Genomic DNA, 12,714 nt, shown 5'->3' with positions numbered 1-12,714 from the left:
TCGAGGACAAGTAGAGGAGTGTAGCTGCAGCACAGTGAGTTTAAAAAAAAAAATGGTAGGAAATGAAGAAGGAACCAGGGTCTAGACTCTGTACGTCTTTATGTCTTTGTAGATCACTGAAAAGACATGTTTTGGTCAAAGTGGTGATGCAAAGCTACTGTTCAGTAGCTTTAAGTGGGAGGGTAGTGTGATCTGATTTTAAGAGATCAATCTGGCTGCTCTGTGAAAACCATAGGAGAGTAAGAGCGGAAATGAGAGAACTCTTCAGAAAAGAATGCAATTGTCCAGACAAAAGATGATGGTGGCTTGGACTAATGAGGGAGATCTTGAAGGTAGGGATAAAACAGAACAGTCAAAGGATGATGATGTCAAGGCTTGCGGTGGTTGGATGGTAGTGCCATTTAATAAACTGCAGAATAACAAGAACTAGTAGTATAGTTTTTGAGGGGGAAAAAAATCGAGTCATGTTTGAGATTCTTGTGAGATGACAAAGTTGAAATGTTGTACAAACAGTTGTACATGTGTGTTTGGAGTTCAAAGAATAGTTTCAGGATAAACATAAATTTGGGAACCATCATCATAGAGATGGTAACTTCATTCTGCTGGATGGGATGAAATTACCTAAGGTGAAAGTATATATAGAAACGAGGTCCAAAGGACAAACATGTTACTTTGTTGAAATAAATGACATCTGTTTGTCATTTATTTCATCAAAGTAAATATTCATCAGGTGAATAATTATATGGAGTGATTTAAATGCATATCGACTGATATACACACATTTTAATCTCCAATGGAAAAGTGAAGAAAGTAAAATCGAACTTAGAGCTGTGGCCTAGTATTCTCTGACATGTAGATGCATAATCTAATTGTTAATCTATAGGCTCCTCTATCTTTCTTATGTATGCAATAAAGAATATACTTCATCCCAGAACTGTAAAATGTTTGTCAATTTTATTTCCATGTCAATTTATGCCTTATCCCTACATCTTATAAAATGAAAAATTCACATTTGCCTGAGAAAATTCAGTTAATTCTCTTGCAGGTGGAAGGAATCATCTCTGTATAACTGAAACCCTGCCAAGACCTTTTTGAGAAGTAGTAGCTAAATCAACAGGACATTTCTATGAATTTCCTTCTTATTCTATATGTTTATCTAATAACCTTGTTTCTCTGTAACTAGATTTTAATGTCAATTCATGCTCTGATTGAAAATATTTCCCCAGGGGGAAAATACATAAAAACTAAACTCATAAGAGAAAGTTGTAAACAGCAGAAAAGGACTATACATTTTTTTTTTTTTTTTTGAGACAGGATCTCACTCTGTCAACCAGGTGGGAGTGCAGTGACATAATCACGGCTCAGGGCAGCCTCTACCTCCTGGGCTCAAGCGTTCCTCCCACCTCAGCCCACCAAGTAGCTGGGACCACAGGTATGTGCTACCACACCCTAATTTTTGAACTACATAGTTTTTACTCACAAATGTTCACACCAGAAGTATATACCCTGCTCTCTATAAACATATCTCTTTTGAATTGTATTTCCTTTAAATATCACCAAACTCTACAAAGATGATTATAATTAAGAAATCTATTTCATATATAAATGGTTTATACATATACAATACTTGTTTTTGGATGCTTTCTAGCTCTGTCAAGGGAACTACATATTTTAACGATGTTAATCATTCCATGAGTCACCAGGTACCTGAAATATAACAGAGTGGCTAATTCAGTTTAATTTTACTACGTATCAGACAAATTTGCTGCTTTCTTATGGAAATTATTTTCACAACAATAAATGTTACTTTGGAGTGGAAATATTTAGCAACTTCTAAATGACTTAGAGGAAAATTAAAAAAAGAAAGTATTTCATACCTGCTTTATGGCAGTTACTGTTATCACAAAGAATAATGGAAGTCCACTGGTAACTGGACTGGTAGGTGTATCAATCATAAGCTAGATTTATAAAAAAGAATACAGAATATTATATTTTTATATTGTGCACATCACACTATTAACATCTAAAATTTCACATTACACAGTGAGTATACTTTAGTTCACGATTTCACAACTTCACTTTGTTGGCTATTATGTGGGGTTGGAAGACTATTTAAATCTATTGCCTATCCACATACATGGCTAGACTGGACTCAGCAACTCTGTTTAAACACAAAGTTCTTCAATATTCGCCAAGGAGTGGAACTACAGCTACTCAGATCTCGTTTCACATTTCTTTGCACATCCTGATAAATGCTGAAGAGTCTGTCAGCAATTTTTACCCTTGGATTCAGAATGATATCAACACTAGGGAAAGAAAACTAGGAATGGGACTATGGAAAGAATTTTTTTCTATAAGTGATTTTGTTACATCCAACAGAGCCAGAGGTGGATAACTAGGAAAATGATGTTCCTTTACTCCGGATAGGCCCATTAAATTTGTTCTATTCCATGGACAAGCTGAATTCATCTTAGCTAGTGATTTCACAAATGTATGGATGTTACGTGGATATGGTTAGCATACATTTCTTGCTTTTCCAAGAAAGCCAAGCGAACGGTCTATGGGCAGAAAATCAGAAGTTCCTTGTCTGTTCATGAAAGAAAGCAATTTTTTCTTTTTAAAAAGTAAATGTTTCCTAAAGCATTAAAATGATTATTTGACAAGTTTCAATTTTTCATTTGAAATCCCAGGTTCTACTGAGAGAAGAGTTCAGAGTTTATATATTTGATGCTACACTGAAATTGCCAAGTTTTATCGGAAAAGAATAACTTCTTTAAAGGAAAATGGCCATCACTATTTTAAAATCTTGATTTATACTCAAGTTCTCTTGATTTTATATACATATATAATTTTTTTAAGCACAAGGTGAAAATTAAGAAACTGTCTAACAGCCTATAATAAACACAGACTTAAGCAAAGAAAACAGTCTCCTGGAAAAAAAAAAAACTTCACCCACAGGGATACTTAAAAATTACAATTCTTATTAAATAACTTAAATTTAAGTTAAATTTAAATTAAAAAATTAAAAGCCAAAGAAAAGTTTACTTTGTACAAAGATGATTCCACAGGCAGAAATGTACCGAAAATATGAACTATATATTAAAAGCCTAAACATTTATGTTCTGAGGCAGAATATCTGAAAGATATTAGGTTACACTCTTAGCTAAGATTATGGTTAATCTAAGTACTACAGCACATTATTGATGAAACAATATACAATTGATCTTAAAGTTTACAGGCTATTTCTTTTAGAAATCTAGATATGACAGATCATTGTATTCACTGAATACAATGCAGAAGCACTGCAGAAAAAATGGTCACATGGTCAAATGATTAGCAACACAATGTAATTTTTCTTTGTTCCAAGACATATTTTTAGAAACTATGTTTACAAACTTAAGATTGAGTAATAAAGCTTACCTGAACCAAAAATATAATAAGAAAATAAAAGTTTGCCACTCTTCTGAACTGTTCAAATAAATTTTTTGGAACAAAATTCCACACAGTGTACTAAAAAGAAAGAGATCAATAAATTAATATTTAAAAATAATATCAAGTATATAGACATAATATTAAGAAGTAAAGTAAAATCGGTTTTACTAACCCCTTAGACAAAATTCTGTAAGTCTATATGCTACAGAAACCATCTGGCTTTTAGAGTTCAGGACTTTTATTCTACTTCCCTTTTTTCTTCCTTTTACTATTTATTGGCAATTTTAGCTTAATTTTGAAAAATGGAATAAGCTGAAACCCAACAATTTTGCTACTAAATTCCAGTTTTTTTAGAAGTTAGAGAAAGCAGATCTAAAACAACATTTTAATAACTTATTTTGGATTTTGGTATACAAAACTAAACCTAATGCTAAAGATAAATATGAGTTGATAGAAATGCAGATACTAGATACAATTTATATTTTAGTTAGTTTAGCATCAGAAACAGAGGAAATAGTTTGTTTAGTATGAAATATGAGGAAATAACCTAGAATGTTAAAGAAATAGAAATGCTTTAGATAAGTGATCGCCGCGATAACCACCAAGAAAATTTCATAAAGGATACGAAAATCTGTCACAATATCAATTTTAAAAGGTAAGATAGTATAGCACAATGGTTAAAAGCATAGATGCTTGGGGTTAAACTGTGGTGGCCCAAATCTTAATTTGTAATACTCACTAAATGACCTTGGACTTAATCTCTCCGTGTCCCACTTTGCTCCTCTATAAAATGAGGATAATATTAATCATATCTTATAGGGTTCCTATAAACATTAAATCAGCTAACATACTGAAGAAGCACTTAGGACAGAACCTGGCTCATACTAATTGCTATAAAAGTGCTTATTATTATTACTCAGCTCAAAAACCTATAATGCTGTATTACAAGGGCAGAATAATATGCTGCAAATTTTATTTGTGTTACAACTCACAACATAACTTCATACATGAAACAGGGAAATTGATTTATAGAATGTTTACTTTATGTACATCCTCCCAGAAGAATATAAGATCCCTGAGGCCAGGGATATCATTTTATTTACTGTTCTATCTCTAGCACATATACTACTCCTTGGCACATAGGTAGAGATCAAATATTTTGCAGAATAGATTAATGAATAAATAAATATGGTTGACAACGGGTTTTTTCTGAGATAATATCCTGATCTCAGGCAATGAGGCCTCAATGGTTACTGACCAATTCAAGATTTCCAAAGAGGTACTTTACGTTACCTAGTGTCATGTCAGATGGCTCTAATTTTTGGATTTTCATTGTCAAAAGTTCACTTCTTAATTAGCTGTTTGAGACCTGAAACACTGTTTCCCACATGAACAACCTTATAAACAGAGTTAGGTTCCCAGAAAAGCCCACAAAAGCCTATCTGACCCAGGGATATGGAAAGACTAGTCCAATAGCAACAAACTTTCCTTCTTTGGTGAAATTATATTTTCAGTTTGAATCTGGAATATGTGAAACATATTTTCCCTGAGTAGTGGCGGCAGCAGTGGTTCCAGAATCTGAGGATGGGAAGTATGTTTAGGGCTCTAGAAAGAAGAGAGGTAGATACTTCCTGGAGCCAAAGGAAGTCAATGTTCAATGTATACACATGAGATGGTAATTGTGTGTCAAGTCACCTGCAGGTGATCTTAATTGGAATTAAAAATCAGTTGTCAGAGTATCTCAGTCACCAAATGTATAATACTTTATAAGGAAGGTTGGAAGTCTCCTAAGTTTACAGCAATCTATTTGAAACGTAACAGCAACAATATATTTTGTATTCCAGAATCCTGAAGAGAACAGCTATATAAATTGGCAGTAAAGTAATTGGTTTCAGGGTGTTTTCTTTGGCTAGTTCAATAATACAAGGAACAACTCAGAACAAATAAAAATTTCTTATGAAAACTAGCACATAAATGGTAGAAATTGTTTCTAGTTTTTCTGAAATACAAACATAATAGATTGTGAATGAGTCTAAATTCTGTGCTTGTCCTATTGTATAGAGAGGGAGAACTCTAGTAGCATAATATCAAACATTATGAAAATACTGCTAAGAAAATAATTTATTATGCTTTAAAGTTCTCTTTGTTATGTAATAATGGTTAAGACAAATGAATTAGAAGTGTAACTTCTCTATAGTCATATATGACTTTATAATTGACCTTATTTTCTCCTAAGAAAACTAAAACATGGCTATAAAATTAAATATTTTGCAAGAAGGTTATTTTATTTTATTTTTTTGAGACAGTCTCACTCTGTCTGCCCAGGCTGGAGTGCAGTGGCGCAATCTTGGCCCACTGCAACCTCCGCCTCCTGAGTTCAAGCGATTCTCATGTCTCAGACTCCTGAGTAGCTGGGACTACTTGCATGCACCACCACACCTGGCTAATTTTTCTGTATTTTTTTTTTTTTTTTTTGAGACAGAGTCTCACTCAGTCACCCAGGCTGGAGTGCAGTGGCTCGATCTCTGTTCACTACAAGCTCCGCCTCCTGGGTTCATGCCATTCTCCTGCCTCAGCCTCCCAAGTAGCTGGGACTACAGGCAACCGCCACCACACCTGGCTAATTTTTTTGTATTTTTTTAGTAGAGACGGGGTTTCACCCTGTTGGCCAGGCTGTTCTCAAACTCCTGGCCTCAAGTGATCCGCCCACCTTGGCCTCCCAAAGTACTAGGATTACAGGTGTGTGCCACTACACATGGCCAAAGAAAGTTTAAATTTAAGATAATGTAGTTACTATGGCCAGTTAAAGACATACCACACAACCACAACATGCAAGACACTTCCACAATAAGAGAAACAGAAATAAGATGTTTAATATTAAGTAGAGGAGATTAAGAACAAAACATTAATAGCTGTATTCAAAGGTAAAGTGTATGAAAAAAATTTAACAAGACAGTCATATTTGACATGTGCTTTAAAAGAAGAACATTCAACAGGCTGAAAATCCAGGGCAAATAAGGGAGAACATTTCAGGAAGCTAGGACAGCATGAGCAAAGGGACAGGAGAAAAGCTCATCATGGCTTTGTGAGATAGAAAACAATGCAGTCTGGAAGGAGACCAAGAGAATAACAGGGGAGTGAAAGGTAGTAAAATGAAAGTAATGAGAAGCAGGCTTCATTTATGCTCAGGAAAAAAGTGACAGTATCTGTATAAATATTTACATTCTTGAAATTATGGTCAAAGATATGAATTCTACCTTTCTACAAAAACATAAAATCTACAATGTCCACAAATACATAAAATTTACATTTTAAAAATTGTGGCTAACAACATGAAATCAAAGCAAAGGCACAGTGGTAGGAAAGTTCAACATGAGTTTGTGGAATAACAGGTAATCTGTTTTGGAAGGAGTTTATGAAAGCAATAGTGGCGTAATAGGTAGTAATGAGACAGTCCTCATTTACCGTAAACATTTAAAAAGGCAATACTTCTTTAAACATCCACATTTTAAAAAATATGGTCAAAAACATTAAACCAAATACTTCTGTGTACAGAGACAGTCATTTAAAGATACTTATTTAATCCCAAAAGCTTTCTAGGAGGACACTCAGTTTCCACTATTGACAAAGAGGTGGTCCTGTGGACTCCCAGCAGATAAGAATTATAAAGATTACATTTTAAAAACTATGTCAAATACTGGAAAATGTCCAAAATATAGATGGAAACGGGAAGAGAGTTTAATTTCAAAAAATTGCAAATGGAAGAAGTATAAATTGTGAATTTTTGGCTTCTTAGCTTGGAGACAGTATCCACCTACCACACACAACAATGGCTGCAAAACAGCTGGGGAAAACTACAGCCTCATCAACAACATGTAACCAAGATTAGAGTTCAGGGCTGGAAAAGCAGCTGGAAATGTAAAGGGAAAATACTGATTGTCAGAGAACCACACAAAGAAAATGGCTTATATTCAAAACATTAACTACACAATTCCAGGCTGACAGCTAAACTATGCACTAGAAAGGAATGAATTACTGATACTAATACTTGCAACAACAAAAATGAACCCCAAAAGCATTATGTTACGAAAAAAGAAGTCAGGCACAAAAGACTTGTGTTGTATTATATGAAATTCTAGAAAAGAAAAAACTATAGTTACAGAAAGCAGATCAGTGGTTGCTAGTGCCTGGGGGGTGAGGAGGAGGGGGACCTGCTGCAAAAGACCATGAAAGATTTTTTTTGAAGCAATGGATATATTCCACATCTTGATTATGGCGGTGGTCAGATTTGTCAAAACTCATCAAACTGCACACTTAAAACTGATAAATTTTACTGTATGTAAATTATACCCCAAGTTAAAAAAAAAACCTAAAGTTTTCAAGAGCTTTTATTTCTTGCATAATTTCTTAAGAACTGTGTCACTACAAACAAATGGATGAACATTCCATGGCCATGGATAGGAAGAATCAACATCGTGAAAATGGCCATACTGCCCAAGGTAATTTATACATTTAATGCCATCCCCATCAAGCTACCAATGACTTTCTTCACAGAACTGGAAAAAACTACTTTAAAGTTCATATGGAACCAAAAAAGAGCCCGCATTGCCAAGACAATCCTAAGCCAAAAGAACAAAGCTGAAGACATCACGCTACCTGACTTCAAACTATACTACAAGGCTACAGTAACCAAAACAGCATGGTACTGGTACCAAAACAGATATATAGACCAATGGAACAGAACAGAGCCCTCAGAAATAATACCACACATCTACAACCATCTGATCTTTGACAAACCTGACAAAAACAAGAAATGGGGAAAGGAGTCCCTATTTAATAAATGGTGCTGGGAAAACCGGCTAGCCATATGTAGAAAGCTGAAACTGGATCCCTTTCTTACACCTTATACAAAAATTAATTCAAGATGGATTAAAGACTTAAATGTCAGACCTAAAACCATAAAAACCCTAGAAGAAAACCTAGGCAATCCCATTCAGGACACAGGCATGGGCAAGGACTTCATGTCTAAAACACCAAAAGCAATGGCAACAAAAGCCAAAATTGACAAATGGGATCTAATTCAACTAAAGAGCTTCTGCACAGCAAAAGAAACTGCCATCAGAGTGAACAGGCAACCTACAGAATGGGAGAAAATTTTTACAATCTACCCATCTGACAAAGGGCTAATATCCAGAATCTACAAAGAACTTAAACAAATTTACAAGAAAAAATCAATCCCATCAAAACATGGGCAAAGGATATCAACAGACACTTCTCCAAAGAAGACATTTATGCAGCCAAAATACACATGAAAAAATGCTCATCATCACTGGCCATCAGAGAAATGCAAATCAAAACCACAATGAGATATCATCTCACACCAGTTAGAATGGCGATCATTAAAAAGTCAGGAAACAACAGGTGCTGGAGAGGATGTGGAGAAATAGGAACACTTTTACACTGTTGGTGGGACTGTAAACTAGTTCAACGATTGTGGAAGACAGTGTGGTGATTCCTCAAGCATCTAGAACTAGAAATACCATTTGACCCAGCCATCCCATTACTGGGTATATATCCGAAGGATTATAAATCATGCTAATATAAAGACACATGCACACGTGTATTTACTGCAGAACTATTCACAATAGTAAAGACTTGGAACCAATCCAAATGTCCAACAATGATAGACTGGATTAAGAAAATGTGGCACATATACACCATGGAATACTATGCAGCCATAAAAAAGGATGAGTTCATGTCCTTTGCAGGGACACGGATGAAGCTGGAAACCATCATTCTGAGCAAACTATTGCAAGGACAGAAAACCAAACACCGCATGTTCTCACTCATAGGTGGGAACAGAACAATGAGAACACTTGGACACAAGATGGGGAATATCACACACTGGGGCCTCTCGTGGGGTAGGGGCAGGGGGAGGGATAGCATTAGGAGATATACCTAATGTAAATGACGAGTTAATGGGTGAAGCACACCAATATGGCACATGTATACATATGTAACAAACCTGCACGCTGTGCACATGTACCCTAGAACTTAAAGTATAATAATAATTTAAAAAAAAAAAAAAGAACTGTGTCACTAATCTAAAGCTCATCCATTATCCTGGATTCTGACATCTCCTCTTCCTACTTTCTGCTTTAGAACCATCATCCAAAACGAGAGATGGCACTAAGGGTATGTTATACACATAAAGAATGTGAAGGCAGCAACATGGGGCAGGGCAAAGAACTGCTGACCTAAGACAACATCCTTGGGAAAGACGAGGTTAGGATTAGAGAAAAGATGTTAGTTGCTTTAGAAGAGAGGGAAGGAGCAATGCAAAGATGCTTCTTAAGGTGCCCTTTCAGGCAATAGTTATGATATAAGGAAAACTTTACCCTCAGTCTCTTTGACTCATATCCTCTATAACTGTACCGTCCAAGCCACTAGTCACATGTAGCTACTGACATTTAAATAAAAATTAAATTAAACTTCAGTTTCTGAGTGCACTAGCCATATTTCAAGGCCTTGATAACCTTGTATAATTTATTGGCCATCATATGGGACAATTCCATCATGACAGAAAAGTCTACTGCAAAGTACTATTCTACAGTCTTTAGCTTCAGAATAACCTAAGACAACTTAAAAATGCCACAGGAAAAAATGAAACAAGGAAGAATATATAAGAGTGAAGCTGTACTTTGGCACCATAAAATGTGTACAAATGAGTGATAAAATTGGAGGAAGCAGACTTTAAAGCAACACAGAACTGAGTTTAAATTCCAATCTATGGCCGGGTGCAGTGGCTCATACCTGTAATCCCAGCACTTTGGGAGGCCGAGGTGGGTGGATCATGAGGTCTGGAGTTCAAGACCAGCCTGGCCAAGGTGGTGAAATCCCATCTCCACTAATCATACAAAAATTAGCTGGGCATGGTAGCAGGTACCTGTAATCCCAGCTACTTGGGAGGCTGAGGCAGAGAATGGCTTGAACCCGAGAGGCAGAGGTTGCAATGGGCCAAGATTGCACCACTGCATTCCAGCCTGGGTGACACAGCGAGACTCTGTCTCAAAAAAACAAGCAAACAAAAAAAACCCCAAAAATCCAATCTAGCCATTTACTAGTGAGCAACCTTGGGAAAATTATTCCATTTCCTAGGACTTCAATTGAGGAAACTGATTTAAAATCAGTATAACACTGCTTTGTAAAATAGATTTCATAAAAGCTATCTCATAGGGTTGTTGTAAGGATTAAATGATATGAGAAGTACTTAATATAGTTTCTGGTACATAGCATAAATATTAGTTCCTTAGTTTACTAGCAACTAAAGATAATTTTTTGGCATGTGGGCTACTGATATCAGCAATTAGCCACTCCTTGTATTCTACAGTTAACCATTTTGGTTAAGATAAATCGACCACCGTTTTCTTGAATTTGTAAGGATATAAATAAATACACACACACACATATAATCACTTTTAAAAATAAAATGATCCATATCTACAGTTTTAATAATAATTTTTTTTTTTGAGACATGGTCTCACTCTGTTGCCCAGGTTGGAGTGCAGTGGCACAATCACAGCTCACTGCACCCTCGACTTCCCAGGCTGAAGCCAGCCTCCAGAGTAGCTGTCAGTAGAGGTGTGCCACCACACCTGGCTAATTTTTTGATTTTTTGCAGAGACAAGGTCTCATTATGTTGCCCACACTGGTCGCAAACTCCTGGGCTTAACCGATCCTCTCGCCTTGGCCTCCCAAAGTGCTGGGATGATGGGTATGAGCCACTGCACCTGGCCTAACAATAAAAATTTTAATTCTTACCTTAGATGAAATGATCCTGTTATCTATAAATTTCTGAGGTGTGTAAAGGCCATTCTGAGGAAACCTGTTGGCTACGTAGATGGTTCTTGTGTCACTCTGATGTGGTGGGTCAAAACCCTAAGACCAATCAAGCAAGAGAAAAAGAAATACTAGTCAACCAGGTTAGTTATGATACTTTACTGTTAGCTTTATTTAGCTGGTCAGATTACATATATTACTATTGCCCTTAAAATGCATATAGACTCAATCCATCTAATTAGAAGAGCTATGCCACCTATTTTTTTTCTTTCACAGGTAAACAGGTACATTATCTCCAGATAGAAACTTTACTATTTTTTTTTCTTTCACAGGTAAACAGGTACATTATCTCCAGATAGAAACTTAACTAGGTAATGCCTTTAGTAATGAAAAACAGTTCATTCTCTGTCAGAAATACTACTATATTGAAAAAAAATCATATGGGAGACCTATAGAAGTATTTGAGGACAAATTTTCTATCCCTACTGCATTCCTTCCCTTTCATTTCTATGGATGGATTTCTACTCAGTGATGTGGAAGTCCTGTGTAGCTACAGCCTAATAAGCACCTACCACATCTGATGGCAAAGGTTTATATTTATTTTACTTTTTCCATCCCCAGACTGACTTGGTTGCAAAGAGCTTTGTTCCCAGATGACTTACAGTGCATTAGGTAGGGTCTTGCCCAGACTCATTCCACACAATCACTTATTTGAGCCATTATAGTATCAATTGACTTACTGAAATAGAGATATGAATATGCTGTAATTCCTGGCCTTTGGGAACTCATATCCTGACCTCAGATTGAGAAGACCATCTGTCAAGGCATATTAGTAATCACCTCTGGTAGAAAAGATTTCACGGGTAACAAGAACACTGAAACTTTATTCTTAGAGGACTGTATTTCCACTTCCACAGTTGCAAGTGAACCTTCAAGACACTTTAACATTCGGCATATTGTCTAGGGTTTTGAAATATTAGAAAAAAGACGCCGGGCGCGCTGGCTTATGCCTGTAATCCTAGCACTTTGGGAGGCTGAGGCGGGCGGATCACGAGCTCAGGAGATCGAGACCATCCTGGCCAACATGGTGAAACCCCGTCTCTACTAAAAAATACAAAAAAAATTAGCCGGGCGTGGTGGCGGGCGCCTGTAGTCCCAGCTACTCTGAGCAGGAGAATGGCGGGAACCCGGGAGGCGGAGCTTGCAGTGAGCCGAAATCGCGCCACTGCACTCCAGCCTGGGACACGGGGAGAGACTCCGTCTCAAAAAAAAAAAAAAAGAAATATTAGAAAAAAGAAAAAAAGACTCTTTTGGCAGATCTTGGGAACCCACTGATGGGCTGAAAGCAATATCCAAATGAAAGACTTTCTTTCTTTGGTTCTAACAGGAAAACGATTCAAAATTCCTTAGGTTTTTTTCTTTTTTTCTTTTTTTTTTTTTTTA

General features: G+C 36.3%; 1 protein-coding gene across 5 annotated transcripts in view; it reads right to left on the bottom strand.

The window, feature by feature from the left end:
- Nucleotides 1-12,714, bottom strand: part of ATP11B (ATPase phospholipid transporting 11B (putative)) — a 128,126-nt gene that overhangs the window by 90,000 nt on the left and 25,412 nt on the right. For 4 of the 5 annotated variants that reach the window (XM_047447784.1, NM_014616.3, XM_011512593.3 and 1 more), the window contains exons 2-4: nt 11,254-11,370; nt 3,421-3,510; nt 1,878-1,958 (exon numbers count right to left, since the gene is read on the bottom strand). In XM_047447784.1, the coding sequence (XP_047303740.1) occupies nt 1,878-1,958; nt 3,421-3,510; nt 11,254-11,370 (288 nt within the window). Of the gene's footprint in view, nt 1-1,627; nt 1,708-1,877; nt 1,959-3,420; nt 3,511-11,253; nt 11,371-12,714 lie in introns of those variants that run through there. The other variant, XM_011512597.3, reaches the window with a different exon arrangement.

Source organism: Homo sapiens, chromosome 3 (assembly GCF_000001405.40).
Source record: "Homo sapiens chromosome 3, GRCh38.p14 Primary Assembly".
In the NCBI taxonomy this organism is placed as follows: domain Eukaryota; kingdom Metazoa; phylum Chordata; class Mammalia; order Primates; family Hominidae; genus Homo; species Homo sapiens.
Note: the sequence above shows the minus strand (reverse complement) of the source record. Positions and strands in the feature narration are given on the sequence as shown.